We start from the raw sequence: 26,617 nt of genomic DNA on the forward strand, positions 1-26,617 counted from the left end.
GACACAGCCTCTCTGACCATAACCCCACGAACACCACCATCCGGGGCCTGATGGGAAAAGTCTGCTGACCCCTGGCCCAGTCCAACACTTACTTCGTGTTAGAGGAAGTCAGAGCCCAGACAGGCAGAGGGCCTCGGCCAAGGTCACACAGCAGCTGATGGTCTGCCAGCGGGCGAGGGAGGGGCCCCGGGGGAACCCGCCTTCCACTCACATTCCCAGGGATGAGAGCCGAGCATGGCTGGGAGGGGATGCAGGCCACAGGCCCCACCCTCTGCGCTCCACAGTGACCAGGTGGCCCCCGACACCCTCCTTTACCACCTCATCCTGGATGCCCCAATGGCCCGAGAGCAGTCGGGGCGCGCAAAGCCTTCCCGCACAGGTTCCCGGAGCTGGGTGGGTCTGGCTCAGGCCGCCCGCACACTCAGCCCTCCCAGCCACCTGCAGAACCTCAGGCAGCACGCCCGCTGGCAGACTGGGCAGGACTCAGCCCCAGAGCACCGGCTCCCCACCCAGCCCACAACCTCCTGCTCCTGGATGTCCAGGGCAGCCCCTGGCAGCCAGCACCCAGCCCACAGGGGCCCACTCTCCACCAGGTGCTACAGCTCACCTCTCGTGTCCAGACTGGCTGCCCGCTGGCTGGGCTCCAGCTTCCACTTCTTGACCTTGAAATAGGGGCTGGCCCCATCCAGGCTGGCATGGCGGCGCAGGCGGGTGAGGAACTGCAGAACGGTACCTGCCCCGGATCCCGGGCCCGCCTCCCCAGGCCCTGCTGCAGCCCCGGGCCCTCCAGCCTTGGTGCTCCTGGTACCGGCATCCAACTGGCAGGGAACAGAGATGGCGCTCAGGCTAAGACTTCTTCCTGGGCCCGTGTGCTGGCCCCAGGTGGCCGTAGGTCTGAGAGACAGTCCCAAGGGCCCCCCATCACTGGGACAGAGAGGGGTACCTGCTCGGAGAGGGGCAGAAGCGGGAGGAGGGGCGCTCAGTGGCTGGGTGGGCTACACTAAGGTGCTCTGCCCTCTGGGGAAGGTCCCTGGATATGGGGTTTGGAGAGAAAAGGAGGTGCGTGTCTAGAAGGTCTCTCGCCCACGGCGTGGGCTGCAGGTGAGGGAGGGCAGGGGTGGCGCACCCTCTCCAGAACCTAGGGAATGTCAAATGAGGTGGGAGCCTGGGGTGCCCCCTGCATGTGTGAGGACACGCCTGTGTCCGGTGTGCGGCCGGCTCCCTCTTTCTCCCGTGTGCAATGACCCGGCGGGCCAAGGAGGGCTGCGGTGGCTGGCAGGTCATAGGTTGACCTTGGTCCTGGACTGGGGACAGGGAGGGGAAGGAGCCTCCCCGGCTGTGGACACCATGGGGGACACGCAGGGGCCCTCACCGAGGTGCCTTCCCCAGAGTCGCTAGATGCCGAGGGGCTGATCTCTGCGAAGTCAGTGGCGCCCGCGGCTGAGTTGTAGGGGTCACCTGGCAGGGCGGAGCTGGGGCCCACAGAGCGGCCGGTGAGGGCCTTCCCCGGGGGCTGTGGGACAGAGCCAGGTGGGGGAGGAAGCAGTGACAGGTCAAAGAGCATGGGTGGGTGAGGGACATGGGCAGGTGAGGAGCATGCTGGGCTTGGCCCCCTGCCCTGCTCCACCCCACCCCGCCCATCCCGAGATGAGGGCCACCCAGAAAAAGAGTGGGTGAGGGCGTGGGGGTCCGGGAGTCCCCGGGGCTGCCTCCCGTCCCCCGAGGAACCGGGGCTGCTGCCCATAGGCTCACCTGGAAGATGGCCAGAGTGGCCTTGGGAGAGGTGGCCGGGTGGGGCGTGGTGGCTGAGCTGGCCTCGCCTGAGTCACACTCGTGGATGGTGACAATCTTGAGGGGCGGCAGGTGCAGGTGCGTGAGCCGGGCATTCTTCAGGTGGTGGAAGTCCCCCTCCGTCAGTGTGTACCTGCGACAGCATCTGGCCATCAGAGCCCGCCCACCTCCCATGCCCGATGCCCCAGCTGCCGTGCTCTGCCATCCACCCTGCCGGCCTGGGCAGGGGCAGGCGAAAGGGGGGCAACTGGCCAAGGCCGCCCCACCCCACGGTCCCAGTCCAGGAGCCTCTGCCTTGGTCCCTGCAGCCTCCGCACCCAGCTCCTCCCCCGTCCCGGCGGCCAGGACCTCAGACAGGCCCTGGGGTGCCTCCCAACGCCGCCCCGCTTACCGGCGACCCTTGTCCTGCGTCTTGCGGCTCTGCTCAAACAGCGCCGCCTCATTGAAGGAGACCCGGCGGCCCGTGGAGCTGGTGGACAGGAAGCGTTCGGTCTCCGCATCCTGGCACTCGGGGTCCTCTCCCCGGAAGTCGGGGTCTGCGTGGAGAGGCAGGAGAGGGTGGGCCCCGGGCGGGCCACGCCAGGCGCCTGGTCCCGGGAGGGCTGCTCCTCCGGGCGGCCACGGCAGGGAGGGCTGGGGCCGCGGCACGGGCGGCCGGGCTGGCGGGGCGAGGGACACTCGTCCATCCGCTCACACACTCACTCGCTCAGCACGCGCCTGGGCCCACCTACGCCTGGGCGTTAAGGAAACAGAGATGAGTCGGAATCGAGCTGCGCCCAGTCTGGTGGGGGAGACAGACAGACACAGACGGTCAGGCAGCCCGAGGGGGCGGCGGGTGGCCGAGGGGCGGATGGACAGGCGAGCGCACAGCCAGGCTGGCCAGCACCTCACCTTGGGCTGGGTGGGTGCCGTTGTCCAGGTAGGTGGTGGTGGTCTTCTCCGCTTCCTCCATGGCCCTGGGAGAGACGTTGGGAGAGCCCAGTGGCACGGAGGGCCCAGATAGCCACAGTGGGTCTCGGCTCTTTGCCCCAAGCCAAGCCCTGCGCATCACCCAGTCTCCAGAGGCATAGCCCACCCTGTGACTCAGAAGCCAGTGAGGTAGACCCCCCACCACCCGATGGCACCCACAACCACCATGCACCTGCCCAGCCGAGGTGGGGGCCTCGCACCTGTTGAGGCGCTGGTGGACGTCCCAGCAGCGCTTGCAGAGGAGCAGGACGCCAGACAACACCACCAGCGTGCCCCCCACGAACAGCGACATCACCACCACCAGCAGCACGTAGTTGTCCAGGATGGGGTCTGGCTCTGCCTGCGGGTGTGCAGGGGGGGTCAGGTGCTGCTGGCCTGGACGACCTCCTGCCCCTCCCACCTGTCCCCTGCACCCACCGTGGGGCGTCCAGTGGCATTGTCCCACGACGTCGTCAGGGCTACTGTGGCAGTGGTGGTGGTGGTGGTGGTGGCGGCTGTGGCCATGGTGGCTGTGGGCTGCATTCTGAACTGGGGAGGAGGGCCCTGTGGGGAGGAAGCCTGGTCAGCTCCAGCTAGACCTACTTCTCCTGCAGGAGCCACTGCAGACAAGCTGGGTCTTCCCTGCAGGAGCAGGAGCCCACACAGGGGGCAGTGACTCATGGAGAGGTAGCAGAGCCGGAGGCAGCCTCCACCCGGCTTGGCTCTGCCCAGCGGGCCCCGGGGGCTCTCTCTGGACCTCCATCTCCCATCCCCATGGCGGGGGAGGAGGCCTGGCCCTCTGAGGGTGCGCCTGTACCCATCACAACTGCACACAGCCGGTGCGGCCTGTCCTGCAAGGTAGCGCCAGGCCCTGGAGCTCAGCGCTGGGCAGGGCAAGCACTCGGAGGAATGGGGACGCCAAGGCGGTGCAGCCGGCTCGAGAAGGACTCCAGACGCCCTGTCCGCCCCATCACGGGGGTGGGGGGCTACCCCCACCCCAAGAAGTTCAGCTACACCCTGGCAGGGCCCACCCGGCCATGGTTGGGTAGAGGGAGACCTCCCGCTGCCTGCGCGCCAGGGAGGGTGCAGGGGCTGGGCGCGTGCTCCCGGGTCACGACTCCGGGAGGTGGAGGTCTCCCCGGTGCTGAGTGCTGGTGGGAGTGCAAGGGACAAAGAAGGCGCATCTGTTCCCAGCCCCGGAGAAGCTGGTTCCCATGGCGACTGCGGAGCAGGCCGCGGCTGGGGGGGCGGGTTGCCAGGGAGCGGCGGGGAGGGGGCGCGGGGGCGGCGGCCTGGGGGGGGGCGGCGGCCTCGGGGGGGCGGGCGCGAAGCCGCAAGATGGCCGCGGCCGCCTCCCCGCCGTGCCCAGCCCGGGCGCCCGGAGCATCCCCGGCCGCCTTACGCTCGGGGGAAACTGAGGCGGGGCGCGGCACCAGGGAAAGGAGCCGCCTGGACGCTGTGCGGCGCAGCCGGGTGGGGAGGCCCGGGAATCGCAGGGGGTCGGGGCTGGCGCCGGGGTGCTCGGCGGCCCCAGGTCAGCACCGCACGCGCGAGACCTTTCCCGGAGCGAGAGGAGCGCACAGGCGGCAGCCGCTCCTGCCCTTCCCGGACTTCCGCCCACACGCGACAGCGGGAAACTGAGGCCCAAAGCCGGGCAGGGTCCCGGCGGGGGCTGGTGTCCTCAGCGCTCCCGGTCACAGGCTGCCCGGGCCCTGGTACTGGGGGAAGGGGCCGCATATGTAGGTCGGGAAATGAGTTCAGGCTGGAGGGGGTGGGGACAGGCGCAGGATGGTGACCGGAGGCCGGGGAAGATGGCAGGAGGCCGAGGGGAAGAGGGGGGCTCCTGGGGGAGGCGGCTGCGGGAGCCGAGGGCGGAGGTTCCCCACGGGGCAGCACCGCGCCCCCGAGCCGGCCAAGGGTGGGGATGGCGAGCCAGGGGAGGCAGGGACCCGACGCCAGGGCTGAGCCGAGACGCCATCGTCCTCGCCCGACCTCACAGGGAGAAACTGAGGCTGGGGCGGGGCCTGAGCGGGGGTCCCTCTGGAGGCAGCCGGGTGGGGGGCGCAAGGCCCGGATCTCGGTCCCCACGCCCGCCGGACTCCTCCGCGCCCTCCCTCCGGCCGCTTAGCCCACAGCCGGCTGCGATCCCCGGCCTGTCCCCCGTCCGCCCCCCGCAGCCCCGAGCCCGCCGCGCCTACCTCAGCGCCGGGACGAGCGGCCCATGGGCGGCGGGCTGGCGGCGGGCGGCTGCGTGGCGCTCGCGGCTGGCTCCGGCGCCCGGTGGCCGCGGAGCAGGCGGAGAATTTATGAATGGAGAGCGCGGCGCGGGGGAGGCCGGCGCGAGAGGAGGGGCCGCGCACGTGACCGCGTTGGCGGCGCGCCCGCTCCGCGCGCCCGGTGCTGCCCGGTCCCCGGCCCGCCGCCCCCGCTGCGCTCGCCGCTGGGTCTGGCTGGCTCCGCGCCGGCCACCGCCTCCCCTTCCCTTCCGGCGGGGCGGGGGGCGGAGCCTGCGCTCCCGGGCGCCCACTCCGCACGCGGAGCCGCCCCCCGCACCCGCCGCGGCGGCCGAGCCCCGCCCCCGGCCCATCGGCACGATTCACCTCGCCCGGTCCTGAGGTCCCAGGGACGCAGCTGGGGGTGTCCTGGAATTCACGACTCTGCAGCCCGAGGTGCGCCGCGTGCGCAGGAGGGGGTGGGGTCCGGGGGGGCACGGACTCCCCTCTCACGTTGCTTGGTCCGTGGGGGTTCTGGGGCGGCACAGCCAGGGCCCCTCGGCCACAATTCCCCTTTAAGCTGCACAGCCCAGGGTCTCTGGACACAGGCGCCCCGCCTGCTTCCCCACGCAGGTCCCCTCTGGCACTGTGGAGGACTCGCCATGCCTCTCCTGCCCCCTCCCCTGTGTGACAGCGATCACAGACCCCGGCACAAAGCTGAGCAGAGCCCATCGGGGCCCAAACGTGCACTCACAGAGGCCTGCTCCTCGTGGGGTGACATCAGAACGACACCCGCAGAAACCCAAAGCCCAAAGCTGCCCCCGCTTCTCCCTCTTAGACCATCGAACCTCATCCTGCAGATACTCAGGCCACACACCTGCCACCAGCCTGGCCCGAGCGCCACCCCAACCCCTCTGAGCCCACGCCTAACACCCCACAGCGCCTCCTCTTTCTCGTCCCAAAGAAAGGCTGACACCGCTCTGGCACGTGGCTGGCCCAGCTCAGCCTCCCCGCCTCTGCCCTTGCAGGTGCCCTGTACCCAGGCCTCTGTCCATGCAGCCAGAGATTCACCCCGGTTTCCTTCAACTCCTTCCCCAGCTTCACAGTCTCGGCGCTTCTGCTCTTGGCTTCCAGCCCATGCCTGGGTCCCCTCCTCTGCTACGTCCCTCCAAGGCCCTATGCCTTGCGCCTTGCCTGTTCCTGTGTGCTGTGGGGCCACCACTCCGATAGCTGTGAACTCCAAGGGCAGCCCCAGGGAACCTGGTGCCAGGCAAATGGGAATTGCATGGGCAAAGGTTTTGAGGCAAAAAAGTTTGCAAGTCAATGCCTGTGAAGGAAGCAGAGAAATCGTCTTGTTCCCAGCAGGACCATGACATGGGCAGGCTTCAGGGTTTTTTGTATTTCGGTTTTGCTTTTTGGAGAGACAGAGTCTCGCACTGTCGCCCAGGCTGGAGTGCAGTGGTGTGATCACGGCTCACTGCAACCTCCACCTCCCGGATTCAAGCAATTTTCCAGCCTCAGCCCGGAAGGTAGTTGGGACTACAGGTGCGCGCCATCATGCCCAGCTAATTTTTGTTTTGTTTTTTTTTGTAGAGATGGAATCTTGCTATGTTGTCCGGGCTGGTCTCGAACTTCTGGGCTCAAGAGATCCTTCTGTCTCAGTCTCCTAAATTGTTGGGACTACAGGTGTGAGCCCCCACACCCCGCCAGGTTTCTGATTTTTAATAAAGACTCCCTCTGGCTGTGTGAAGAAAAGGTACCTGTACTAAACGGGGGGAGGCTGGGGCCTCCTAGGCAAGAGATGGTAGCCGCGGTGGCCATGCTGGGTGCACAGGCCGGGACAGGGCGGAATTCCAGAGGAACCCCAGGTTTGGGGCTGGAGTAATGGCGCCCTCACCCGTGGGCGACCCTGGAGTGGGGACTGGAGGGAAGTGGTTCCACGAGTGAGACTGAGTCTATTAGGCCTCCCAGTTTCCTGGAGTGGCAGCTGGATATGCGGTCCTGAGAGCCAGGAGGTGCACAGGTCACGACTCGAAAAGTGAACAGGCCTCCTCCTCTGCACCCCCCGAGCCAGGGCCAGGATGACCAGGCTCCAAGTGACCGTCACAGCGCTGGCCCGGTGGGAGGAGCCAGGCCCACGCCTTCATCCTGAGTCGGACCAGCAGGGCCTTCTTCAGGTGCTTGGGTTCCAGGGGACAGTGGCGCCCGCCATTGCACTGGCCTGAACACGGGCAGGGGGCGAGGGTGCAGCCTCCGGATGTAGGGAGCCACGGATCGTGTCGGATTCGCCCACAGCAGGAGGCATTGGATCTCCCTGGCTGCACCCTTGTAAAGCCACAGCCCCAGGGCCTCCCCTGCTCCCTGCACCCCTGGGGTCCAGCCCACCGCGCCAGGCTCAAGGCCCTTTCCAGGGAGCCCGAGCCCCAACCCCCGCCATCCCCGATTCCGCATTTTCCCGGAGCCTAAGGAGCGGGGCTGGGGGCCCGGCCGGGTGCCGCAGACCTGCGTGAGCGCGGGGGCGGGGCGGTGACGTCATAGCCGCGAGCGAGGCTGCGCGGGCCGCTGGCTGACGGCAGCGGAGCCCCGAGCCGCCCGCGCACGCGCTCCTGCGTCAGAGGCGCACGGGGGCGACGGCCAGGCAGGAGGTGGGGGGTCGGCGAGCGCATCTCCGGGCGCGGAGCGCCCTCTGCCGGCGTCGAGGAGCAGCGCGCCGGGGTCCGGGATCCCCAGCGAGCCCTCCCGCGTCGCCCGCGCTGTGCCCCTCGCCGCGGTCGCCGTTTCCTAGAACAGCTGCACCTGCAGCCTTCCACCCTGTCCCGTCCTGCACACTTTCTCGGCTTTTACTGTGATTTATTTTTGGCTTTTGCCACCACCTACCACTACGACCTGTTTGTTTTTAAATTTTATTTATTTTTTTGTTTGAGACAGAGTCTTGCTCAGTCGCCCAGGCTGGAGTGCAGTGGCGCGATCTCGGCTCACTGCAACCTCCCCCCCCCCCCCCCGCCCGGGTTCGAGCTATTCTCCTGCCTCAGCCTCCCGAGTAGCTGGGATTACAGGCGCCCACCACCATGCTCGGCTAATTTTTGTATATTTAGTAGAGACGAGGTTTCGCCATGTTGACCAGGCTGGTTTCAAACTCCTGACCTCAGGTGATCCGCCTGCCTCGCCCTCCAGATCGGATAAAGTGCTGGAATTACAGGCGTGAGCCACCGCGCCCGGCCTGACCTGCTTATTAATGATCTCAAATGTCTGCTAAATAACCCCCGGCCCCAGAGTGGGATTCTCACTCTGTTGCCCAGGCTAGGCAGTGGCGCAATGATAGCTCACTGCAGCCTCAATCTCCTTAGGCCCAAGCGATGCTCCCGCCTCAGCCTCCCCAGTAGCTGGGACCACAGGCGTGCATCACCACGCCCGGCTAATTTTGATTATTTGTAGAGACGGGGTCTCCCTCTGTTGCCCAGACTGGTCTCCATCTCCTGGGGTCAAGTGATTCTCCTGCCTTGGCCTCTCAAGGTGCTGGGATTACAGGTTGGAGCCACCACACCTGGCCCAGAGCCGGAAACTTGATGTTTTCTTGATGTCTATCCAGGGCCCTGCATCCAATGAGCGCCCCAAAAATCTTTTTTTTTTTTTTTGTACAGACGGGTCGGGGGTGGGGGCGATCTACACTATTGCCCAGGCTGGTTTCCAGCTCCTGGCCTCAAGTGATCCTCTGGCCTCAGCCTCCTAAAGCGCTGGTATTACAGTCGTGAGCCACCACGCAGCCGAATCTTGAATTTCACTGAAGTTCGTTTTACTCCACCTCCCAGGACGGTTTCACCGCCCTTATCTGACCACCCCCTGGTTCTGCCGCAGCCCGGGCCGGAACAAAACTGCAACCCCCAGAATACCTCACGACGGGGCACTGCGTCGTCAACGTCGCGTGCGCCCTGCCGGGAGTCGTAGTTCGCGCTTGCGCTCTCGCCGGGACTCCTCCTCCCAGACGTCCCTGCGCGTCGTCCTCCTCGCCCTCCAGGCCGCCCGCGCCGCGCCGGAGTCCGCTGTCCGCCAGCTACCCGCTTCCTGCCGCCCGCCGCTGCCATGCTGCCCGCCGCGCTGCTCCGCCGCCCGGGACTTGGCCGCCTCGTCCGCCACGCCCGTGCCTATGCCGAGGCCGCCGCCGCCCCGGCTGCCGCCTCTGGCCCCAACCAGATGTCCTTCACCTTCGCCTCTCCCACGCAGGTTCGGGCGCTGCGGGTCGGGACCCTCCGTGGCCGCCGCCCCCGGAGTCCAGGGTCCCCACCCCCAGGGCGCGACCCCCGCTTCCGGGCCCCCGGACCCGCGCGCCCCGGAAGCCGAGGCTACTCAGCCCTGGACCCTCGGCCCTGCCTCTGCTGCCCGAGCCCTGCGCTGCCCTCGTCCCGGGCACCTCCCCGAGATAAGCGTCTCCTGGGTGCCCTCCCCGATCTCCCTGGCCAAAGCCTGGGTGTCGCCGGATCGTTGCATTCCCATTTCGCGGATCAGTAGAATGAGGCGCAACTGTTGAGGACCAAAGCTGCAACTTCGGATCCCTGCGCTGGGTTGTCTCAGTGCCTCACATCAGCGCCAGGTCCTGCCCTGACCCATTACTTAGCAGGACAGGCCGAGTGCCCGGTGGGCGCGGGGCCGGCCTGCCCCGCCATCATTCCCCACGCTGTTGTCTGCAGGTGTTCTTCAACGGTGCCAACGTCCGGCAGGTGGACGTGCCCACGCTGACCGGAGCCTTCGGCATCCTGGCGGCCCACGTGCCCACGCTGCAGGTCCTGCGGCCGGGGCTGGTCGTGGTGCATGCAGAGGACGGCACCACCTCCAAATACTTTGGTGAGTCCGGTGGAGGGCTGCAGGGCCAGGCCAGGCTGGGGCTCCACATCCCAGGTCAGTCTCCGTCTCAGTTGAGGCTGCGAGAAAAAATAGTTTTAGGCCGGGCACGGTGGCTCAAGCCTGTAATCCCAGCACTTTGGGAGGCCGAGGCAGGTGGATCACCTGAGGTCAGAAGTTCGGAGACCAGCCTGGCCAACATGATGTAACCCCGTCTCTTCTAAAAATACAGAAAACTGGCCGGGTGCGGTGGCTCCCGCCTGTAATCCCAGCACTTTGGGAGGCCGAGGCGGGGGGATCACGAGGTCAGGAGATCGAGACCATCCTGGCTAACACGGTGAAACCCCGTCTCTACTAAAAATACAAAAAATTAGCCAGGCGTGGTGGCGGGTGCCTGTAGTCCCAGCTAGTCAGGAGGCTGAGGAGATTGTGCCACTGCACTCCAGCCTGGGCAACAAGAGTGAAACTCCATCTCAAATAAGAAAAATACAGTTTTAGCAGGTTTGTCCACTGAGGAGCCTGGGCTGGCCGGTGATGAAAGCGAACCAGAGGGGACCCTGCTCTCAGCCGGTTTATGACTGGCTCTGGACCAACCAATGTAGGATGGTCGAAGCAAGAGATGTAAAACCACCCAGGCCCAGTGGTTCATGCCTGTAATCTCAGCACTTTGGGAGACTGAAGTGGGAGAATCGCTTAAGCCCAGGAGTTTGAGACTAGCCTTGGCAACATAGTGAGACCCTGTCTCTACAAAAAATAAAAAGAAACTGACCAGGCGAGGCTGGGTGCGGTGGCTCACACCTGTAATCCTAGCACTTTGGAAGGCCGGGGTGGGAGGGTCTCTTGAGCCCAGGAGTTTGAGACCAGCCTGGGCAACATAGTGAAATCCCATACTACAAAAAATTAGCTGGTTGTAGTGGTGCACACCTGTAGTCCCAGCTACTCGGGAGGCTGAAGCAAGAGGACCGCTTCAGCCGGGGAAGTCAAGGCTGCAGTGAGCCAAGATCATGCCACTGCACTTCAGCCTGAGCAACAAGAGTGAGACCCTGTGCCAAAAAAACCCCTCAAAAAACCATGTTGGGAGGGCTGATCAGATTAGGGGAGGAAGGTCATTTGTGCAGGAAAAAAAGCAGTTCTAAGCCTCACTGGTTTCCAGTGGTGGCCAGATTTGAACTCAGCTTGCCTTTGGCCCTGACCCCAGCTCAACCCATGGGTGGTGGGTCAGAGGGAGGGCCTCTGTCCCCAGGCAGTGCTTTTGGGGGTTCCTCCAGCTTCTAGTCCTTTCTTGCGGCCCCTGTTTTGTTCTTCTCTAGCAGTTGCCCGCCATGTTGGGCCCAGGGCCAGTCCTGTGGGTCTGTTTGCACACTCAGGACACAGACTTGGATGTTTGTGGAGCTCCTGGTTCACAGGGGGCTCTGGACTTGACCAGGGGAGTCCCTGAGGCTGTGCAGCCCTTTGGGGTCTCACGCCTTCCCCCCGCCCCATTCCCCCAGTGAGCAGCGGTTCCATCGCAGTGAACGCCGACTCTTCGGTGCAGTTGTTGGCCGAAGAGGCCGTGACGCTGGACATGTTGGACCTGGGGGTGAGTGTCAGAGGGGACCTGAGGCTCAGCAGGTTGGAGCTGTCCAGGCTGCGGGGGAGGGAGCGCTGGGGGACCAGGAGCCGGGCTGGGGTCGCTGCTGGCCCCTCACCGCCCCTCAACCCCTTGCAGGCAGCCAAGGCAAACTTGGAGAAGGCCCAGGCGGAGCTGGTGGGGACAGCTGACGAGGCCACGCGGGCAGAGATCCAGATCCGAATCGAGGCCAACGAGGCCCTGGTGAAGGCCCTGGAGTAGGCGGTGCGTACCCGGTGTCCCGAGGCCCGGCCAGGGGCTGGGCAGGGATGCCAGGTGGGCCCAGCCAGCTCCTGGGGTCCCGGCCACCTGGGGAAGCCGCGCCTGCCAAGGAGGCCACCAGAGGGCAGTGCAGGCTTCTGCCTGGGCCCCAGGCCCTGCCTGTGTTGAAAGCTCTGGGGACTGGGCCAGGGAAGCTCCTCCTCAGCTTTGAGCTGTGGCTGCCACCCATGGGGCTCTCCTTCCGCCTCTCAAGATCCCCCCAGCCTGACGGGCCGCTTACCATCCCCTCTGCCCTGCAGAGCCAGCCGCCAAGGTTGACCTCAGCTTCGGAGCCACCTCTGGATGAACTGCCCCCAGCCCCCGCCCCATTAAAGACCCGGAAGCCTGACTGTGTGCTCGGCTCTTGTTCCTCCACCTGGCCCGGTGAAGCCGGGAGCGTCCTGGGCCCCTGCTCACGTCCTCCATGTCCCTTGCAAATAGGGCCTTTGAGCTCCCCTGGACTATGTCCCTTAGGGCACCTGGAGGTCCGTAGGAAGCAGGCTCGAGGGGGTGGGTGGGGTGCAGCCAGGCGGGCAGGCTGCTGACCTTCACCCTACAACGGTGGGGAGGGTGAAGGTCACCAGTGATGGGGACATCGGTCAGGGAGGGGTGTCCCTGCTGCTCCTGGCGCCTCTGCCGAGTTCCTGGTCTCCAGGCCTTGACCCTGAGCCCTGCTGGCCCTTGGCCCTGCCCACCAGCCTCTGGAAAGAGGCGGGCCCCACCCGCTCCCACGCTGGCCCCGCCCTGTGCCAGCCGGTCCTGTGGGTGGCCCTGCCTGGCCGGGTGCCGAATCTGCAGTGTTTTTGGCACCTCCGTGGGCACCTAGGCTTCTGGGTTGGCCCCAGATGGAGTGGGGTGGGCCCAGGAGGGGGCGGCTCCCTGGCACTGCCCCGTTGGGCCTGCCTCTTCTCCTTTCCATAACCCTGGGGGCGGGCAACACTGGCTCCAGCTGGTGTGTGGACGGCGGGGGCTGGGGTCTCCTGACCTCCTCCCTTCCTTGGGACAGGGCCCTGTGCAGTGGGGTAGGCAGGGAATTCCAGGGGGGTGAGTGGGGAGGGTGGGCCTGCCTGTGTCACTGGAGCTGGGATGGTGACAGAGAGGCCGCCCCGGGCCTGTCAGCACGGACGGGCAGCTCACTCCCACGTCATGGCACTATGCGGGTGACTTGCCACAGCTTCACTTGAGGCGAGGTGCCGTTGGGGGCCTTGCGACTCTGAGGCCGCCGGTCAGCAGATCAGGTATTCTGGAACAGCCCACGGTCCCCTGCCTGGCTCCCCCTCCACTTGGGCCTCGGGACACGAGTGACCAGGCCCCCACTTCTCCAGGAATCCGCAGCCCAGGGAAGGTTGTGTCAGCCACCAGGCCACAGGAGCAGCCTCTGCCCAGGCCCCCCCTCCCCCCCGCCCCCAGTTCCAGCCCCAGGTCTTCAAGTTCCTGCCAGGCCACCAGGACCCTATAAATAAGACCAAGGGCACAGCTGGGACTTAGCAGGGGCCCAGCGGGAGGAGCTGCTCACTCCGGGGACCTCCCCTGCCCCCACCACCAGGGAGGGTGTGAACCTTGGAGCCAGGCCTCAGGACACCCGAGACACCTGACACTCGGAGGGAACAGCCCGTGCTGGCTGGATGCGTCCTGGAGCAGGAGGCAGTCAGGGTGGGGCCGGGAACCAGGCGGTCAAGGCCCTTCAGTGAGGGCAGCCCCTGGCTTAGTGAGGCAGAACAGAGCACAGGGTTTGTCCCCATCACACCCAGGAACAACCCACTCAACCATGGGGACGCCGAGTATGGGAAATGGTGGGGAAGCGTTTTAGCATGTTTATTCATTTAGACTGGCTCTGGGCATCTGGTCCCCAAAGGGCCACACAGTGGCCCCTGTGAAGCCCAGCAAGTTCCGACAACCCGTGTCCCATTCCACTCCCGACCAGACTGAGGTGATGGTGTCCATTCCACTCCCGACCAGACTGAGGTGACGGTGTCCATTCCACTCCCGACCAGACTGAGGTGACGGTGTCCATTCCACTCCCGACCAGACTGAGGTGACGGTGTGCAGGTGGCAGAGCCACACACGAGAGGCAAGAGGCAGGGAGGGAGGTGGGGGCTGCTGGCCACTCACAGGGGGCCCCAGTGTCCTGCTTGGGCTGCTCATTTGGCACCAGTCCACGGCTCCCTCCGCCACCTTTGTTCTCACTGGAAGCAGAATGAGCCTGGCCCTGTAGTTCCCACCTGGGGCCCCAGCCCTTCATCCAAGCCCCATTCATCGACCCTGCCCCTCCTCCCTCCAACTGGGTCCAGTTCACTAAGCTCCCAGAACTGCTCAAGCCATTCCCACTTCCTGGACCATCGTCTTTTTTTTTTTTTTTTTTTTTTTTTTTTGAGAGGAGTTTCGCTCTTATTGCCCAGGCTGGAGTGCAATGGCACAATCTCAGCTCACCACAATCTCCGTCTCCCGGGTTCGAGCAATGCTCCCGCCTCAGCCTCCCAAGTAGCTGAGATTACAGGCGCACATCACCACGCCTGGCTAATTTTTGTGTTTTTAGTACAGACAGGGTTTCACCATGTTGATCAGGCTGGTCTCGAACTCCTGACCTCGTGATCCGCCCGCCTCGGCCTCCCAAAGTGCCAGGATTACAGGCATGAGCCACCGCGCCCGGCCTTTTTTTTTTTTTTTTTTTTTTTTGAGACGGAATCTCGTTTTGTCGCTCAGGCTGGAGTGCCCTGGCACGATCTGGGTTTATTGTAACCTCCGCCTCCCGCGTTCAAGCGATTCTCCTGCCTCAGCCTCCTGAGTAGCTGGGACTACAGACACATGCCACCATGCCCAGCTAATTTTTGTATTTTTAGTAGAGACAGGGTTTCACCATGTTGGCCAGGCTGGTCTCAATCTCTTGACCTTGTGATCCGCCCGCCTCGGCCTCCCAAAGTGCTGGGATTACAGGCGTGAGCCACCGCGCCCGACCGCATCATCTTTTTTATGTGACAAACTCCTAGTCATTCCTCAAACCGCAGCCCCTGTGACCCCCTTCCAAGGGTTATCCCAGCCTCTCCCTCTCTGGCCTAGCCCTGACCCTTCGGGGCTGGGTGTGCCTGTCAAGGTGGGGGCCACGGCTGCCGGGAGCATGGGTGGCAGCCGGAAGGAGACCTGGGGAGGAGCGCAGCCCTGGGAGGGGCGCCCATGGCCAGGGTGGGGGTGGAGGTGGTCAGGCCAGATAAAGGGAGGGGCCAGATGAGTGGACAGGAGGTGCTCCCGTAGGAATGGGGTCCCCTTCTCTAAATAGAGGGGCAGGACGGGGCCCACCTCAACCAGGACCATCCTCAAAAAGCCGACGGGGAAGGGTGAGATGCACACCACATTCGTGTCTCATTGGCTGTGGCCTCAGTTTCTTCATCTGTAAAATGGGGTAATGCCCACCCCAAAGGCTGGGAACCAGTGCATGTCCTGCATTAATGGGGGGTGATGGCCCCAAAGTGATCCTGCCGCATCCCCTCACCACACTCCCACCCACCCTGGAGAAACTGAGGCTTGGAGAGGCCAGTTACCTCCCGGGGTCACAGCATAGCCGGCTGGTGACTGGCTGGGCACAAGGCAGGCCTGGCACTGGCTAATCGCTCCATAAATGCCCTCTGAGGTCACCATTGACAGATGCAGGAGGCCAGGGCTGGCCAGGGCACCCCCACTCTACGGCAGGTGACTCCAGCCTGTTTTCCTGGACGACAGCCGCTGACTCAGGCCCCTCTTCCCGTCCCCCCCACGCGGGCGCCCCCAGGCGGAAGCACCGGGCCTGGGGCGACAGGAAGGGGGCGGGGCAGCGAGTCGCGCTGTACACCCCAAAACCCTGTCCCGCTGACGATTCGGGGTGCATCTCAGCCCGCGGCGAGGCGGGCCGAGACCCTTGGCTCGGGGCATTCAAGGGGAGTCCCCCCATGAACTGCGCCAAGCCTGGGTCCCGGGTGGCCCAGCCGTCAAGGCGCCCCAGGGCCAGGGCCGGCAGGCAGGGGCGGGGGCCAGTCTGCGTCACCGCCCGCCCGGCCCCCCGCCCCCCTGCCCGCCCTAACTCCACCCCGAGGGAAGGCGGCGCGGATAAAGGCTGAGGGCCGCGCGCTTGGCCCAGACCGGCCCGGCCAGCGCGCATTCGGCCCCGGACGAAGGTACTCGCAGCACTTGGAGCGCAGAACCGGCCGCGCCCGGTGAGTGTGGAGGGGGGGGACCTGCGGGCCGAGGAAGGGTGCCCACTCTAGATGGCTCAGGATGCCCGCACTTTTCTTTGTTCTTGGGACAGGAGGGATCGGGGAGCCTCCGGTCCTGGGAAGCCCCCCGGGGTGCGGGGTGGGAGGGGCTCCGCGCAGCCAGCGCCGCCCTGGCCGGACCTCAGCCCCCGCCCCGCCCCCCGGGGCACTCCCCCTTCACCGCGGGTGACCTTGAACTGGTTGCCGTTCCGCCCTCCGTTGCCCAGCCACACGGTCCCAGTCTCCCGACTACAGTCTTTCGTTCCCGATCGGGGTTCCTCCCCCGCGCGCAGCCCAGTCGTCTTCCTCCCCTGCCAGGGGCAGCGCGGCGCCCCCTCCCCGGGACTCCGGGCGGCGCTCCCAGGCGGGCCCGGCAGAGGGCGCGCCCGAGCTGCTGACTCACCGCATCCCCGAGCGCGCGCGGGCGCAGCCGGGGACGCCGCGTCACGTCACGGCTCGAGCGGGCGCGCCTCGGGGAAACGGGTTCTGCCCGCGGCCGGCGGGTGGGCGCGCGGGGCCCCCGGCGGCAGCCACCCGGCCACGTCACCGAGGTGCGGGCGCCCCGCCCCGGCCACAACTCCGCCCCCACGCACCACGCCCTCCCCGGGGCCGCGGCCCTAGCCTCACCGTCGCCCGCCCGCCCCGGGACCCCGGCCACGAGGCGCGGACTTCGCGCTCCCGCTTCCGCTCGCGGCTTTTCCCGGACGAAGGCGGCGGGGTGGCCCCACGACTTCCTGCCCCTCCCGGCGCCGGGAACAATGGCCCGCGCCCCCTCCCGCTCCCGGCCGCTCCCTTGGGATCGCGAGGGGTACCAGACCCGTCTCCAGACCTGGGTCCCGCGCCCCCCGGGGCGCGCCCGCCCTTTGTTGCGGGCTCCGGGCGCTTATGAATGGCTGCGGGCGCGGGCGGGGCGGGGGCGGGCGCGGAGAGGCGCCAGCCCCGCCCCCGCTGCGCTCCCCTTGGTCGCCTGGGCGCTGGGGGCGGGGCGAGGGGGCGGGCCCGGCTGCCACGTGGGGCGGTGCCGCGGCGGCTCTCATAGGCCCGGGCTCGCGGCCGACTGGGCGCTCGGCGCGCGGCGATTGGCCGGCGCCCGGCCGGCGGAGTAAGTAGTGAATGGGAGGGGGCGGCGGCCCCGCCCCCTGGAACGTTGATACATTATAACTTTTTTTTCTTGTTACTTTCACCCCCAGATCCTCCGAGCGGCGGCGACGGCTGTTGCTAAGGGAGGGGACGCGCGAGGAAGCGCGACCCGGGCGGCAGACGGCACCCAGCGCCACCAGCCGAGCGGCGCCCCCTCCCCAGGACCCTTAACCGCGCCGCGTCCCGGTCGCGCCCGCCGCCCTTTGAAGGAGAAGCAAGTGCCGTCCCCACCCCCGGAAGGCGCCCCCAGGAGCCGGAGCGACCTCGGAGCGCCACTCGGATTTTGGATTTCGGTCTCGCATTCCGCGGCCGGGACTTTCTCGAGGAGGACGCGCGCTGCTCCGCGCCCCCGAGTGCCCGGAGGACCCGGCATCCGGGGAGCCTCTCGCCCCTGTCCCGGAGGCGCGGCGAGGATTGGCGGCGCCCGCCGCCCCCAGCCCCCCAGCGCGCGCCGGGGATGGAGCCGCAGCCCGGCGGCGCCCGGAGCTGCCGGCGCGGGGCCCCCGGCGGCGCCTGCGAGCTGGGCCCGGCGGCCGAGGCGGCGCCCATGAGCCTCGCCATCCACAGCACCACGGGCACCCGCTACGACCTGGCCGTGCCGCCCGACGAGACGGTGGAGGGGCTGCGCAAGCGGTTGTCCCAGCGCCTCAAAGTGCCCAAGGAGCGCCTGGCTCTTCTCCACAAAGACACGTAGGTACCGCGCGCCCCCGGCCGGCCGCCCCCTCGGGCCCCGGCCCCCGGGCGGGAACAAAGAGCGCGCCGCGCGGGGAAGGCAGGGGGCGGCCAGACAGGGGGCGGGGGCGCGCCGCGCGCTCTCGGGCGCCCTCTGCTCGGCCTCGCCTGCCTCGGCCCCCTCCCCCGCCCGGGGTCGCCGCACAAAGGCGGCTGCGAGGGCGTCCCGGGCCGGGCTTCGGCGGCCCCCCTTGGGGGCGGGCAGGAATCCCAGGGCGTTGCGGGGGTCCCGGCTGCGGGTGTGGGGGCCGCCACCGCCCCCTCCCGCCTGCGTCCGCGCCGGCTTCCGCATCTGCTCGGCGGCCTCCTCTGCGTCTGGCTGTCTCCCCCCACTTGCGTCTCTCTCCCCCCCTTTGTTCTCGCCTCCGAGCGCTCCCCGCAGCCTCCCCTCCCCCCTGGTATTTAAATCGCCTGCAGGCCCGGAGCCCTCCCCCCGCGGGCCTCCGGGGACACGCAGTGTCCATCCCAGTGGAGGGGCCCATCGGGGGAGGGGCGGAGGGGGAGGGTCTCCTTTGTCTGCGCGGCGGCGGCCGCCTGCGCCGGGGAGGGAGGAGGAGGGGGAGCCCGGCCCGGCGCAACCCCCAGGGCCTCTCCTCGGGCCGAAACCCGTGGTTCCTACAAAGAGGAGCCAGGACTAGAATTAGGGAATTGGGGGCAGGGGCTGCCCTGGGGTCGTGGGGGAAGGTGGCATAGAGCACACTGGGGCCCAGAGGAGGAGAAAGTGCCTGGTTGGGGTGCAGAGGGGGTGCCAGAGTCCAGGGCGGGGGTTCCACTGGAGGGAAGGGGTCCGAATCGCCAGGATGGGGCTCCCAGCACCAGACGGAGACCTCTCTGCACGCGCTTAGGGCCCTGGATCTGGAAGCCGGGAAGGGGTGGGGGTGGGAACTTATCCGTCTCTCCCCACACAAGCACAGCCCTCCCCCGCGGCCTCTGCTTCCGCGTCCCTGTGTCGTCTCCGCGGAGTCTCATGCTCTTCCTTCCTCCCCCCAGCCGGCTCAGTTCGGGGAAGCTGCAGGAGTTCGGCGTGGGTGATGGCAGCAAGCTGACCTTGGTACCCACCGTGGAAGCGGGCCTCATGGTAAATGGCCATGGGGCTGCGTGCCCCCAGAGGCCCCCGCACACAGGCAGTAGCCCCTCCCTCGGTACCTGTCCGCACACACACTACCTGGGGCCCCCACCCCGCCAGCCAGCAGGGCCCTCTCCACCCCCTATTCCAGCCCAGGATTCCGACCCCACACTCAGGCCCCTCTCCTCCCTCTCTTTGTAGTCTCAGGCCTCAAGGCCGGAACAGTCCGTGATGCAAGCTCTCGAGAGTCTCACGGAGACGCAGGTAAGACCTCGCCAGCCCCTTCCTAACAGGGCAGCCCTGGGAGCAGGGTGCCTTGGCCACCGACGGGGCCTGGGGGTTGTCTGTGCTCCCAGGAGGCTGGGGGAGGGGAGGGGACGCGCCACCCCGCCTGGGTGCCAGCCTGGCCTGGCCTCCCCACCTCCTCTCCCCCAAGATTCACCACCTGACCCGGAGGGCTTTCTCTCCCACGGTGGCTGCCCTGGGGGAAGGGGGCCTGGCTTTCACAAGACTGCCTGCAGGATGACCTTGGCCTATGGGGCCTCATCCCCGCTCACACCCTGGCCTGCATCCCCAGCCCCCTCCGCCCCCACCGAGGAGCCCCCCTCCAGCCGCTGTGGCTTCCCCAGAGCGAGTTTCTCCTTTTTTACATTTCTGCTGAGGGCTGGGGGTGGCGGCTTGGGTGACACTCCTTCCGCCTTCCGTGACCCCCATCGTGAGAGGGTGGGGATCTCGTCACCCTCCCCTCCTCTCTCTGGCCTTTGTTCTCTACCCCGAAAGGGGAGGGGGCGGGGGTGCCCAGCCCTGGGGCCAGTGAGGCCTAGACAGGATGTTAGGAAAATATTTAGTAAGCGGCCAGGAGGGAGGCTGGGGCTGGCCCTCACCCGGTTCCCGGTTTTGCTGCGGACTTTTTTTTTTTTTTCTCCTTCTTTCCTCATTTTCTTGGCTGCGGCCAAGCCTTCCTCAGACAAGGGCCCTGGCCACCTCCCAGGAGGGTGACACAGGCCTCAGCAATCCGCCCGCTGCCAGGGTGGGGGACGCAGGCTGCCACCCGCCCCAGCAAGGGGTGGCCGGCTTCCCGGGCCTCCCTGGCCCCGAGGCCCGCACCCCCTTCCGCTTTCCCAGCGGCATGTAGAGTCCTGCCCTTTCCCTACATCGCGGGGGCAGGGCGGGGGCCGGGAGCTGGGTGGTCTGCCATGGGGGTGGCCACAGCAGCAGCAGCAGTGGCGTGGGGGCAGAGCCGGGGTCCCGAGCCAGGGCGGGGGCTGCAGGTGATTTCCTGGGGCGAGTGTGAGCAGAGCTCCCCGCCGCTGGGGGGCTGCGGTTGGCAGGGGGCCCAGGGCGTGTTGGCTTCACACCCTCCTCCCTGGGCGCCTGCGTCAGGAAGGAGCTGGGTTGGGGGGGGCTGGAGGGGGTGCTGGGCGGAGACACTGGGCTCCCCAGGGTTGCTTCCCTGCCTGGCACCGAGTCATGCCCGCCCATTAGCCTTCCCCAGGGAGGAAGTTGCAGGGCGGGTGGTGGTGGGGACTCCAGCTGCTCTCGGGAAGCCACCCCGGGCCCTTCCTGCAAAGGCTGTCTTGGGGCAGGGGGGTAGGGGGCCGGGCAGGCTGGGCCGCAGGGTGGGGGCTTCACCCTGCCCTCCTCCCTGCCTCCCTCCCCATGGGCCCCAAGCAGAGAAGGTTACGCCAGCTACTGCCAGTGGAGAGGAGAGCCGGGAGGGAGAGCTGGGAGGCGGTCGGTTCTGAGTCATCCCAGCCTATGTCACTTCTCAGAAACCTCCGCCACCCCCCCCCCCATCCCGGCCACTGGGGAGAGCAGGGCTCTGGCCCATACCCAGAGCAGGGGGCTTGGCGAGGACAGGGTGAGATTCAACCCACACCCACCCTGAACGGGGGCAGATTGAGGGTTTCTGTGCTTGGAGCAGGTTGTGCCCTCCGGGACTCCAGCCCCAGGGCGGTCAGGGCCCCTTCCTGCAGCCTTGCCACAGCCCCCTAGGCCTCCGCCCCGCCCAGGACAGATAAATATTTATCTTGAGAAAGCAAAGGTTAGGACAGAAGAATTCGTGCAGGAATTCCACCCACTTGCTGGCCCTGGTGACTTAGCTGGGAGGGGGCCTGAGGTGGAGCCCCTCCCGTATCCACAGGCAGAGAGGATCTAGGGGCCCATGAGGGTGGGGGAAAGGCAAAGTGAAGGTTGTTTGAGGTCAGTGACTGCCAGCTGGGCCCCGCCCCCTCTGGCCTCAGTTTCCCCTTGCAAGACCGACCTAGTTGGCCAGGGAGGGGCAGGCCCCCGTCTGACCCGCCTCTGTCCCCACAGCCCCCAGCGGCGCCCGGGCCGGGCCGGGCTGGCGGAGGAGGCTTCCGGAAATACAGATTCATTTTATTTAAGCGTCCGTGGCACCGACAGGGACCCCAGAGCCCAGAGAGGGGCGGCGAGAGGCCCCAGGTCACAGCGCGGGGGGACTGGGCCGGGCTGGGCTGGGGGCGCCGCAAGCTGGGGCTCCCAGCTGACGGACCGCTCTCCTTGCAGGTCAGTGACTTCCTGTCGGGCCGTTCGCCACTGACACTGGCCTTGCGTGTGGGCGACCACATGATGTTCGTGCAGCTGCAGCTCGCGGCCCAGCACGCTCCACTGCAACACCGCCATGTGCTGGCCGCTGCGGCCGCCGCCGCTGCTGCGCGGGGGGACCCCAGCATAGCCTCCCCCGTGTCCTCGCCCTGCCGGCCGGTGTCCAGTGCCGCCCGAGTCCCCCCGGTGCCCACCAGCCCGTCCCCTGCATCTCCCTCGCCCATCACAGCCGGCTCCTTCCGGTCCCACGCAGCCTCCACCACCTGCCCGGAGGTGAGCCTGGGGAAGGGAAGGGTGACCCTTGGTTGGAATCCAAAGGGTGGGCCGTCCTGGGGAGGTCTTGGGGAGGACAAGGACTCTTAGTCCCAGGTGAGTCCCTTGTATTAAGGGCTATCCTGTGACCTCGGGCTGGTGGGTGATCCCCCAGCCTAGATTGGTGGGGTATTTCTAGATCCTGAGTTGACGGTCATCGCCTGACATGACCTGGACCAGTAGATGATCTCTTGATCTTTGACTCATGGGTCATCTCTGTGTCCTGGGTTGGTTGTGACCTCGTGACCTTGGGCTAGTTTATCTCTAAACCCTGTGTTGACAGGTCATCTCCTGACCTGGGCTGGTGGGTGATCTCTGGTCCCTGGGTTGCTGGTGATCCCCTGATCCTGGACCCCGTGCTCATGTGCCCCTTCCTCCCATCAGCAGATGGACTGCTCCCCCACGGCCAGCAGCAGTGCCAGTCCTGGTGCCAGCACCACGTCTACCCCAGGGGCCAGCCCTGCCCCCCGCTCCCGAAAACCCGGCGCCGTCATCGAGAGCTTTGTGAATCACGCCCCGGGGGTCTTCTCAGGGACCTTCTCTGGTAGGTGTCACAGCACATGTGTGAGCTCACGTGTGTCCCGTGACCCTGTGCATTTGGGGTCTACATCCACCCACAGGCGACTCCACATATTCTGGGCATACACAGGCTGTGTCCGTCTGCTCACTTCACATGTCCCCCAGGAATCCCCCACACACACGCCTGGCCCTGCCCGGGGGGCCGCGGGTCACCAGGCGCCTGCATACTGGGGACGTGTCCCGCTCCCGCCCCGTGGTCCCTCGTGCACATCAGCCCACATGTCCACGCCATTGCCTGAGCTCATGAGCTCACACCCGTGGACGCCCGTCCTGGACATGCGGGACTGTGCCCGTGCCGGGCACTCACGGCCACCTCTGCCCGCAGGCACGCTACACCCCAACTGCCAAGACAGCAGCGGGCGGCCGCGGCGTGACATCGGCACCATCCTGCAGATCCTGAACGACCTCCTGAGCGCCACCCGGCACTACCAGGGCATGCCCCCTTCGCTGGCCCAGCTCCGCTGCCACGCCCAGTGCTCCCCGGCCTCACCGGCCCCCGACCTGGCCCCCAGAACTACCTCCTGCGAGAAGCTCACGGCTGCCCCCTCAGCCTCCCTGCTGCAGGGCCAGAGCCAGATCCGCATGTGCAAGCCCCCGGGTGAGTGGCCACCCTCGGGGGTCCTACCTTCCCCGCCCGCCTGGGCTTCTCAAGGCCCCTCTGTGTGAGCTGGTGGGCTCAGGAGCAGCTGACCTGCCCAGGGGCTGGGGGGGATGGCAGCTGCCGTGGCCACTGCTCTGCTCCAGCCCGGAGAGAAGGCAGCATGTGTGTCAGGGCACAAAGTGTCCTTGTGTGCTCCCGGGGGGCCACAGGCCCACTTCCTCCTGCCCCACCCCCACCCGGGGCATCATCTCCAGATGGCATTTGGTGCCTCTGTGAATGGCCAAGTCAGGCCTGGCAGGCCGAGGCGGGGCCAGAGCCCACCCCTAAGCATTTCAGTGACTTGGAAAAGCAGCGAACACAACCCCCCTGCCAGCCTGGCCCCAGCTACTCCCAAACGGCGGGTTACTCCCTCCAGAGTCTCACCAGAAGATGGCTACTGTACTGCCCTTGGGCTCTGCACCCGTCGCGGGGGCTCCTCCCAGCTCAGTTTAAAAGTGGGAAACTGGCCGGGCGCGGTGGCTCACGCCTGTAATCCCAGCACTTTGGGAGGCCGACGCGGGCGGATCACGAGGTCAGGAGATCGAGACCATCTTGGCTAACATGGTGAAACTCCGTTTCCACTAAAAATACAAAAAATTAGCCAGGCGTGGTGGTGGGCGCCTGTAGTCCCAGCTACTCGGGAGGCTGAGACAGGAGAATGGCGTGAACCCAGAGGCGGAGCTTGCAGTGAGCCGAGATCGCGCCACTGCACTCCAGCCTGGGCGACAGAGCGAGACTCCGTCTCAAAAAAAAAAAAAAAAAACCAAGGTACAACCCCCAAGTATCTCCCCTCGGATCACAGAAGCGGCCAAGCCCCCTCCATGTAGGACTCCAGGAAGAATGAGGCAGGACAGTCCTGACCTCCCCAGCTCATGGCTGAGCTGGAGAATTAGAAGCCAGCTGCGTAGCTGGGACTCCAGGCAAACACCACCATGCCCAGCTAATTTTGTAATTTTTGTAGAGGAGGGGTCTCGCTCTGTGGCTCAGGCCTGTCTCGAACTCCTGAGGTTGCCCAGGCCTGTCTCGAACTCCTGAGCTCAAGCGATTCTCCTGCCTCGGCCTCCCAAAGTGCTGAGATTACAGGCGTGAACCACTGTGCCCGGCATGGTGGATGTCCTTGACTGTTTCCTTTGCTGACCTCCCTCCAGGGAGGGCAGGACTGTGTCTGACCTCAGGGGCATTTGCTGGGGTCTGGGGTGGTCCTCTGTGTTCAGCAGGTGGAGGCTTTGGGAGTCACAGGCCACTACCTCCTTTGCAGGGGACCGGCTTCGGCAGACAGAAAACCGCGCCACGCGCTGCAAGGTGGAACGGCTGCAGCTGCTTCTGCAGCAGAAACGGCTCCGTAGAAAGGCCCGGCGGGACGCGCGGGGTCCGTACCACTGGTCACCCAGCCGCAAGGCCGGCCGCAGCGACAGCAGTAGCAGCGGGGGCGGCGGCAGCCCCAGCGAGGCCTCCGGCTTGGGCCTCGACTTCGAGGACTCCGTGTGGAAGCCAGAAGTCAACCCTGACATCAAGTCAGAGTTCGTGGTGGCTTAGGATCTTCGGATCGGCCACCCTCGCCCCTCGCACCCCAGCCCAGGGCGGCGGGGACTCCGAGAGCCCCGGAGAGAACGTGGCCCAGCCCTGGAGGGCAGGCGGCCACTCCCCCAGCCAGAAGTCTTTTTTTCTTTTCTTCTTTTTTATTATTTTTTTCTTTTTTTAAAAAGTTCTGACCGTGGTTTCCTGGACTCTTCATGGGCTTTGCTTCCTACCTCCTTCACCCTTCACTCCTGCCCTCCTCTTCCTCCTCCTCCTCCTCCTCCGTCTGTCTCCTTTCACCTCTGCGCCAGGTCGGTCCTCCCTGCCAACCTTCCCCAGCTCCAATATGTAGCAGTCTCTCTGGATGGCGGAGAGTGAAGGAGACGGAGAAACGCGCCCCATCCCTTCCGCCGCCTCCTTTCCCCCCCGACCCTATTCAGGTTTTAAGTCAAAAATGTCGATATGTCATTATGCACTTTACAGATGAGGGGAGGGGCCGCAGTGCGCAGAACCCACCCCACCCCCCAGTGCAGACTTCGGGGTCTCCACCCCAGGCCAGCAGCGCCCACTGGGCTACAGCAAGCCAACAGGTCACAGAAGCCAACGAGGGGACTGTTTCTCTTCCACTCCTATCCTCTTTTCTTGATCTTTTTTTTGCATTTTCCTTCATTTCTTTAACAAGGAGAGCAAAGCTGTTTTAGCAGAGGCTGGGGCTGAGGTCCCCATGGGGTTTGGGTGCAGGGGCATGGCACCCTTTCCTGTCGGGAAGGGAGAGGGGAACTACCCCCCCAGCCTGCCCTCCGCCCCGCCCCAGCCGGCGGACTGTGCTGTTTCCTCCGCCCCCACTCCCGTGTTTTCTGACCTCCTGCCTGAGTTTGGGGTATTTATAGACTATTAATTTTCTGACTGAGCCAATAGTGGTTGGGGAACTCTTGAAAAAGGGGAGAGAATGGCTGGGTGCTGGGGAGTTCCCCCCTCCGAGCCCTCCTTCCCGGCCCAACCTGAGGGATGTGGATTTGGGACTGTCTGGGGGCCCCTCCTGCAGCGAGGATGGGAGGGGGTGCTGAGCTGTGAATCCCCTGGGCAGGGGGCGACAACTCCGTGTAGCATTAACCCCCGTGGCGGGGTCCGCTGCTGGTCTAATTTGGACCCCCTGCCTCTCAGTGCCCCTGCCCTAGGGGTGTCTGTCTCCAGAGGGGAGGGACAAATCCCCTACTGGGGCCATTTCAATGGGGTAGTTTTTGGATTTTTTTCCCCACTCACTTTTTATTTTTTAATGATAATGGAGATGTCTGGACCCTTCCTCACCCCACCTGTCGGTCTTGTCCTGGCTCTGCCTGTCCCCCACCGTTGTTCTCGTAGGTGAACCCCAGGTCCTCAACTCCCCCCCTTTATGTGTTGAAAGTTAATGGTTTCAGATGTGAACATCACGTGTTATAACTGTAGCGCTGTAAATTTTTTTGTGGGAGGGTGGGCAGGGAGGGGTCCCAGAGGGTAGAGCTCAAGGATTTTGGGTTTTGTTTTGTTTTCATTTTTCCAAAAAAAAAAGAAAAAAAAATAGAAAAAAAAGGAGTAAAAGGGGCGGGTTTGTTTTTTGAAGAACTGTCTTGGATACCTATTTAAATGTGTGTTCTGTTTTGTTTTTTAACGATTTTTAAATAACGTCTGTGCCTCCACTGGTTGAGGGTGGAACCTCCAGGCAGGAACCGGCTCGCCACCCTCTGCCCGGTAAGGGCTGCCCAAGAAAGCATTACCCGCCCTCGGGGGGTCGGGCTGTGGGGGTCCCGGCACCTGGCGTGAGTTTCATGTATGAAAACATAAAATTGAAAAAAAAAAAAAAACCTACACGAGCACCGTGATTTCAAGTAATAAACAGAAAATGAAACACACATTGACTCCCGCCTGCTCGCCTAGTGGGGGGATCTGGCCTTGGTTGGGAGGGTTCCTGGGGTGGGATGTCAGCTCAGGGAGTCAGAGGGACTGACCTGGGTCCCAAGGCCCCGAAGAGGGGGTGGGGCAGGGGTCAGGGCCCTGAGAATTTCCCACGCTCCTTCCCCGGCTGCCGGGTGGGCAGGAAGCAGCCAGGGTGGGAGGGAGGAGCCCAGCCACTTCCTGGTACCCAAGGCCGGAAGTCCCTTAGGGTGTGGGGCGAGGGCCTGCCTGCCTGCTTCGTGGCCTGGG

At 65.6% G+C, this 26,617-nt stretch overlaps 3 protein-coding genes and 2 long non-coding RNA genes across 14 annotated transcripts in view, besides 28 other annotated features; 3 read left to right on the forward strand and 2 right to left on the reverse strand.

Moving 5' to 3' along the window:
- Window positions 1-5,684, reverse strand: part of CBARP (CACN subunit beta associated regulatory protein) — a 10,216-nt gene extending 4,532 nt beyond the window's left edge. For 3 of the 5 annotated variants that reach the window (NM_001393918.1, XM_017026556.2, NM_152769.3), the window contains exons 1-8: window positions 4,938-5,187; window positions 3,178-3,303; window positions 2,961-3,100; window positions 2,683-2,747; window positions 2,183-2,327; window positions 1,753-1,924; window positions 1,373-1,513; window positions 608-818 (exon numbers count right to left, since the gene is read on the reverse strand). In NM_001393918.1, the coding sequence (NP_001380847.1) occupies window positions 608-818; window positions 1,373-1,513; window positions 1,753-1,924; window positions 2,183-2,327; window positions 2,683-2,747; window positions 2,961-3,100; window positions 3,178-3,282 (979 nt within the window). In that variant the 5' untranslated portion in view covers window positions 3,283-3,303; window positions 4,938-5,187. Of the gene's footprint in view, window positions 1-607; window positions 819-1,372; window positions 1,514-1,752; window positions 1,925-2,182; window positions 2,328-2,493; window positions 2,573-2,682; window positions 2,748-2,960; window positions 3,101-3,177; window positions 3,304-4,937; window positions 5,188-5,339 lie in introns of those variants that run through there. The other 2 variants (XM_017026555.2, XM_017026558.1) reach the window with 2 other exon arrangements.
- Window positions 5,105-5,324: a silencer, noted in NCBI's record as "silent region_9671". NCBI's record gives its function as "represses an Ori minimal core promoter by ATAC-STARR-seq in GM12878 lymphoblastoid cells {active_cell/tissue: GM12878}" and the evidence as "EXISTENCE:reporter gene assay evidence [ECO:0000049][PMID:35858748]".
- CBARP-DT (CBARP divergent transcript) lies at window positions 5,110-6,702 on the forward strand. Its single transcript, NR_186324.1, has 2 exons — window positions 5,110-5,408; window positions 6,546-6,702. It is a non-coding gene; the product is annotated as a CBARP divergent transcript (long non-coding RNA).
- Window positions 7,138-7,696: an enhancer, noted in NCBI's record as "H3K4me1 hESC enhancer chr19:1239955-1240513 (GRCh37/hg19 assembly coordinates)". NCBI's record gives its function as "activates a minimal SCP1, AML or CMV promoter by ChIP-STARR-seq in naive H9 embryonic stem cells {active_cell/tissue: H9 hESC(naive)}" and the evidence as "EXISTENCE:reporter gene assay evidence [ECO:0000049][PMID:30033119]".
- Window positions 7,138-7,763: a biological region, named in NCBI's record as "H3K4me1 hESC enhancer GRCh37_chr19:1239955-1240513".
- Window positions 7,404-7,763: a silencer, noted in NCBI's record as "silent region_9672". NCBI's record gives its function as "represses an Ori minimal core promoter by ATAC-STARR-seq in GM12878 lymphoblastoid cells {active_cell/tissue: GM12878}" and the evidence as "EXISTENCE:reporter gene assay evidence [ECO:0000049][PMID:35858748]".
- Window positions 8,563-8,692: an enhancer, noted in NCBI's record as "active region_13598". NCBI's record gives its function as "activates an Ori minimal core promoter by ATAC-STARR-seq in GM12878 lymphoblastoid cells {active_cell/tissue: GM12878}" and the evidence as "EXISTENCE:reporter gene assay evidence [ECO:0000049][PMID:35858748]".
- Window positions 8,733-8,802: an enhancer, noted in NCBI's record as "active region_13599". NCBI's record gives its function as "activates an Ori minimal core promoter by ATAC-STARR-seq in GM12878 lymphoblastoid cells {active_cell/tissue: GM12878}" and the evidence as "EXISTENCE:reporter gene assay evidence [ECO:0000049][PMID:35858748]".
- Window positions 8,933-12,007, forward strand: ATP5F1D (ATP synthase F1 subunit delta). Of its 2 annotated transcripts, NM_001001975.2 has the most exons (5): window positions 8,933-9,173; window positions 9,638-9,791; window positions 11,279-11,367; window positions 11,497-11,622; window positions 11,919-12,007. In NM_001001975.2, exons 1-4 carry the CDS (start codon window positions 9,033-9,035, stop codon window positions 11,617-11,619), a joined length of 507 nt encoding a protein of 168 aa, NP_001001975.1. In that variant the 5' UTR covers window positions 8,933-9,032; the 3' UTR covers window positions 11,620-11,622; window positions 11,919-12,007. The 2 variants fall into 2 exon arrangements, with proteins under 2 accessions (NP_001001975.1, NP_001678.1); NM_001687.5 differs by having other exon boundaries at window positions 11,497-12,007.
- Window positions 9,103-9,212: a silencer, noted in NCBI's record as "silent region_9673". NCBI's record gives its function as "represses an Ori minimal core promoter by ATAC-STARR-seq in GM12878 lymphoblastoid cells {active_cell/tissue: GM12878}" and the evidence as "EXISTENCE:reporter gene assay evidence [ECO:0000049][PMID:35858748]".
- Window positions 11,510-11,669: a silencer, noted in NCBI's record as "silent region_9674". NCBI's record gives its function as "represses an Ori minimal core promoter by ATAC-STARR-seq in GM12878 lymphoblastoid cells {active_cell/tissue: GM12878}" and the evidence as "EXISTENCE:reporter gene assay evidence [ECO:0000049][PMID:35858748]".
- Window positions 11,870-12,029: an enhancer, noted in NCBI's record as "active region_13600". NCBI's record gives its function as "activates an Ori minimal core promoter by ATAC-STARR-seq in GM12878 lymphoblastoid cells {active_cell/tissue: GM12878}" and the evidence as "EXISTENCE:reporter gene assay evidence [ECO:0000049][PMID:35858748]".
- Window positions 13,161-13,906: an enhancer, noted in NCBI's record as "H3K4me1 hESC enhancer chr19:1245978-1246723 (GRCh37/hg19 assembly coordinates)". NCBI's record gives its function as "activates a minimal SCP1, AML or CMV promoter by ChIP-STARR-seq in naive H9 embryonic stem cells {active_cell/tissue: H9 hESC(naive)}" and the evidence as "EXISTENCE:reporter gene assay evidence [ECO:0000049][PMID:30033119]".
- LOC102723811 (uncharacterized) lies at window positions 13,450-15,254 on the reverse strand. The gene is made up of 2 exons (XR_007067082.1): window positions 15,195-15,254; window positions 13,450-15,043 (listed from the first exon to the last, which is right to left on the reverse strand). It is a non-coding gene; the product is annotated as an uncharacterized LOC102723811 (long non-coding RNA).
- Window positions 15,219-15,758: a silencer, noted in NCBI's record as "silent region_9675". NCBI's record gives its function as "represses an Ori minimal core promoter by ATAC-STARR-seq in GM12878 lymphoblastoid cells {active_cell/tissue: GM12878}" and the evidence as "EXISTENCE:reporter gene assay evidence [ECO:0000049][PMID:35858748]".
- On the forward strand, window positions 15,765-26,325 carry MIDN (midnolin). 5 transcript variants are annotated; one of them, NM_001388306.1, is made up of 9 exons: window positions 15,765-15,842; window positions 17,072-17,711; window positions 18,744-18,831; window positions 19,021-19,083; window positions 21,136-21,264; window positions 21,349-21,660; window positions 22,084-22,243; window positions 22,604-22,876; window positions 24,177-26,325. In NM_001388306.1, the coding sequence occupies exons 2-9, from the start codon at window positions 17,479-17,481 to the stop codon at window positions 24,452-24,454; spliced, it is 1,536 nt and encodes a 511-aa protein (NP_001375235.1). In that variant the 5' UTR covers window positions 15,765-15,842; window positions 17,072-17,478; the 3' UTR covers window positions 24,455-26,325. The 5 variants fall into 5 exon arrangements, with proteins under 5 accessions (NP_001375235.1, XP_005259729.1, NP_796375.3 ...); XM_005259672.4 differs by having other exon boundaries at window positions 22,087-22,243; NM_177401.5 differs by lacking the exon at window positions 21,136-21,264.
- Window positions 15,842-16,375: an enhancer, noted in NCBI's record as "H3K27ac-H3K4me1 hESC enhancer chr19:1248659-1249192 (GRCh37/hg19 assembly coordinates)". NCBI's record gives its function as "activates a minimal SCP1, AML or CMV promoter by ChIP-STARR-seq in primed H9 embryonic stem cells {active_cell/tissue: H9 hESC(primed)}" and the evidence as "EXISTENCE:reporter gene assay evidence [ECO:0000049][PMID:30033119]".
- Window positions 15,849-16,308: a silencer, noted in NCBI's record as "silent region_9676". NCBI's record gives its function as "represses an Ori minimal core promoter by ATAC-STARR-seq in GM12878 lymphoblastoid cells {active_cell/tissue: GM12878}" and the evidence as "EXISTENCE:reporter gene assay evidence [ECO:0000049][PMID:35858748]".
- Window positions 16,369-16,488: a silencer, noted in NCBI's record as "silent region_9677". NCBI's record gives its function as "represses an Ori minimal core promoter by ATAC-STARR-seq in GM12878 lymphoblastoid cells {active_cell/tissue: GM12878}" and the evidence as "EXISTENCE:reporter gene assay evidence [ECO:0000049][PMID:35858748]".
- Window positions 16,519-16,988: a silencer, noted in NCBI's record as "silent region_9678". NCBI's record gives its function as "represses an Ori minimal core promoter by ATAC-STARR-seq in GM12878 lymphoblastoid cells {active_cell/tissue: GM12878}" and the evidence as "EXISTENCE:reporter gene assay evidence [ECO:0000049][PMID:35858748]".
- Window positions 17,169-17,218: a silencer, noted in NCBI's record as "silent region_9679". NCBI's record gives its function as "represses an Ori minimal core promoter by ATAC-STARR-seq in GM12878 lymphoblastoid cells {active_cell/tissue: GM12878}" and the evidence as "EXISTENCE:reporter gene assay evidence [ECO:0000049][PMID:35858748]".
- Window positions 17,229-17,278: a silencer, noted in NCBI's record as "silent region_9680". NCBI's record gives its function as "represses an Ori minimal core promoter by ATAC-STARR-seq in GM12878 lymphoblastoid cells {active_cell/tissue: GM12878}" and the evidence as "EXISTENCE:reporter gene assay evidence [ECO:0000049][PMID:35858748]".
- Window positions 17,789-17,908: a silencer, noted in NCBI's record as "silent region_9681". NCBI's record gives its function as "represses an Ori minimal core promoter by ATAC-STARR-seq in GM12878 lymphoblastoid cells {active_cell/tissue: GM12878}" and the evidence as "EXISTENCE:reporter gene assay evidence [ECO:0000049][PMID:35858748]".
- Window positions 17,919-18,008: a silencer, noted in NCBI's record as "silent region_9682". NCBI's record gives its function as "represses an Ori minimal core promoter by ATAC-STARR-seq in GM12878 lymphoblastoid cells {active_cell/tissue: GM12878}" and the evidence as "EXISTENCE:reporter gene assay evidence [ECO:0000049][PMID:35858748]".
- Window positions 18,079-18,148: a silencer, noted in NCBI's record as "silent region_9683". NCBI's record gives its function as "represses an Ori minimal core promoter by ATAC-STARR-seq in GM12878 lymphoblastoid cells {active_cell/tissue: GM12878}" and the evidence as "EXISTENCE:reporter gene assay evidence [ECO:0000049][PMID:35858748]".
- Window positions 18,219-18,328: a silencer, noted in NCBI's record as "silent region_9684". NCBI's record gives its function as "represses an Ori minimal core promoter by ATAC-STARR-seq in GM12878 lymphoblastoid cells {active_cell/tissue: GM12878}" and the evidence as "EXISTENCE:reporter gene assay evidence [ECO:0000049][PMID:35858748]".
- Window positions 18,219-19,159: a biological region, named in NCBI's record as "H3K27ac-H3K4me1 hESC enhancer GRCh37_chr19:1251037-1251976".
- Window positions 18,220-19,159: an enhancer, noted in NCBI's record as "H3K27ac-H3K4me1 hESC enhancer chr19:1251037-1251976 (GRCh37/hg19 assembly coordinates)". NCBI's record gives its function as "activates a minimal SCP1, AML or CMV promoter by ChIP-STARR-seq in naive and primed H9 embryonic stem cells {active_cell/tissue: H9 hESC(naive and primed)}" and the evidence as "EXISTENCE:reporter gene assay evidence [ECO:0000049][PMID:30033119]".
- Window positions 19,139-19,398: a silencer, noted in NCBI's record as "silent region_9685". NCBI's record gives its function as "represses an Ori minimal core promoter by ATAC-STARR-seq in GM12878 lymphoblastoid cells {active_cell/tissue: GM12878}" and the evidence as "EXISTENCE:reporter gene assay evidence [ECO:0000049][PMID:35858748]".
- Window positions 19,819-19,898: a silencer, noted in NCBI's record as "silent region_9686". NCBI's record gives its function as "represses an Ori minimal core promoter by ATAC-STARR-seq in GM12878 lymphoblastoid cells {active_cell/tissue: GM12878}" and the evidence as "EXISTENCE:reporter gene assay evidence [ECO:0000049][PMID:35858748]".
- Window positions 19,919-20,148: a silencer, noted in NCBI's record as "silent region_9687". NCBI's record gives its function as "represses an Ori minimal core promoter by ATAC-STARR-seq in GM12878 lymphoblastoid cells {active_cell/tissue: GM12878}" and the evidence as "EXISTENCE:reporter gene assay evidence [ECO:0000049][PMID:35858748]".
- Window positions 20,239-20,448: a silencer, noted in NCBI's record as "silent region_9688". NCBI's record gives its function as "represses an Ori minimal core promoter by ATAC-STARR-seq in GM12878 lymphoblastoid cells {active_cell/tissue: GM12878}" and the evidence as "EXISTENCE:reporter gene assay evidence [ECO:0000049][PMID:35858748]".
- Window positions 26,173-26,322: an enhancer, noted in NCBI's record as "active region_13601". NCBI's record gives its function as "activates an Ori minimal core promoter by ATAC-STARR-seq in GM12878 lymphoblastoid cells {active_cell/tissue: GM12878}" and the evidence as "EXISTENCE:reporter gene assay evidence [ECO:0000049][PMID:35858748]".

The sequence above is a fragment of the Homo sapiens genome, chromosome 19, assembly GCF_000001405.40.
Source record: "Homo sapiens chromosome 19, GRCh38.p14 Primary Assembly".
NCBI lineage: Eukaryota > Metazoa > Chordata > Mammalia > Primates > Hominidae > Homo > Homo sapiens.

Coding starts and splice junctions, on each gene's coding strand:
- ATP5F1D (NM_001687.5), top strand. CDS start 9,033: ATGCTGCCCGCCGCGCTGCTCCGCCGCCCGGGACTTGGCCGCCTCGTC. Junction 9,792..11,278: donor CACCACCTCCAAATACTTTG/GTGAGTCCGGTG, acceptor CCATTCCCCCAG/TGAGCAGCGGTTCCATCGCA. Junction 11,368..11,496: donor TGGACATGTTGGACCTGGGG/GTGAGTGTCAGA, acceptor AACCCCTTGCAG/GCAGCCAAGGCAAACTTGGA.
- MIDN (NM_001388306.1), top strand. CDS start 17,479: ATGGAGCCGCAGCCCGGCGGCGCCCGGAGCTGCCGGCGCGGGGCCCCC. Junction 18,832..19,020: donor CCGTGGAAGCGGGCCTCATG/GTAAATGGCCAT, acceptor CTCTCTTTGTAG/TCTCAGGCCTCAAGGCCGGA. Junction 22,877..24,176: donor CCGCATGTGCAAGCCCCCGG/GTGAGTGGCCAC, acceptor CCTCCTTTGCAG/GGGACCGGCTTCGGCAGACA.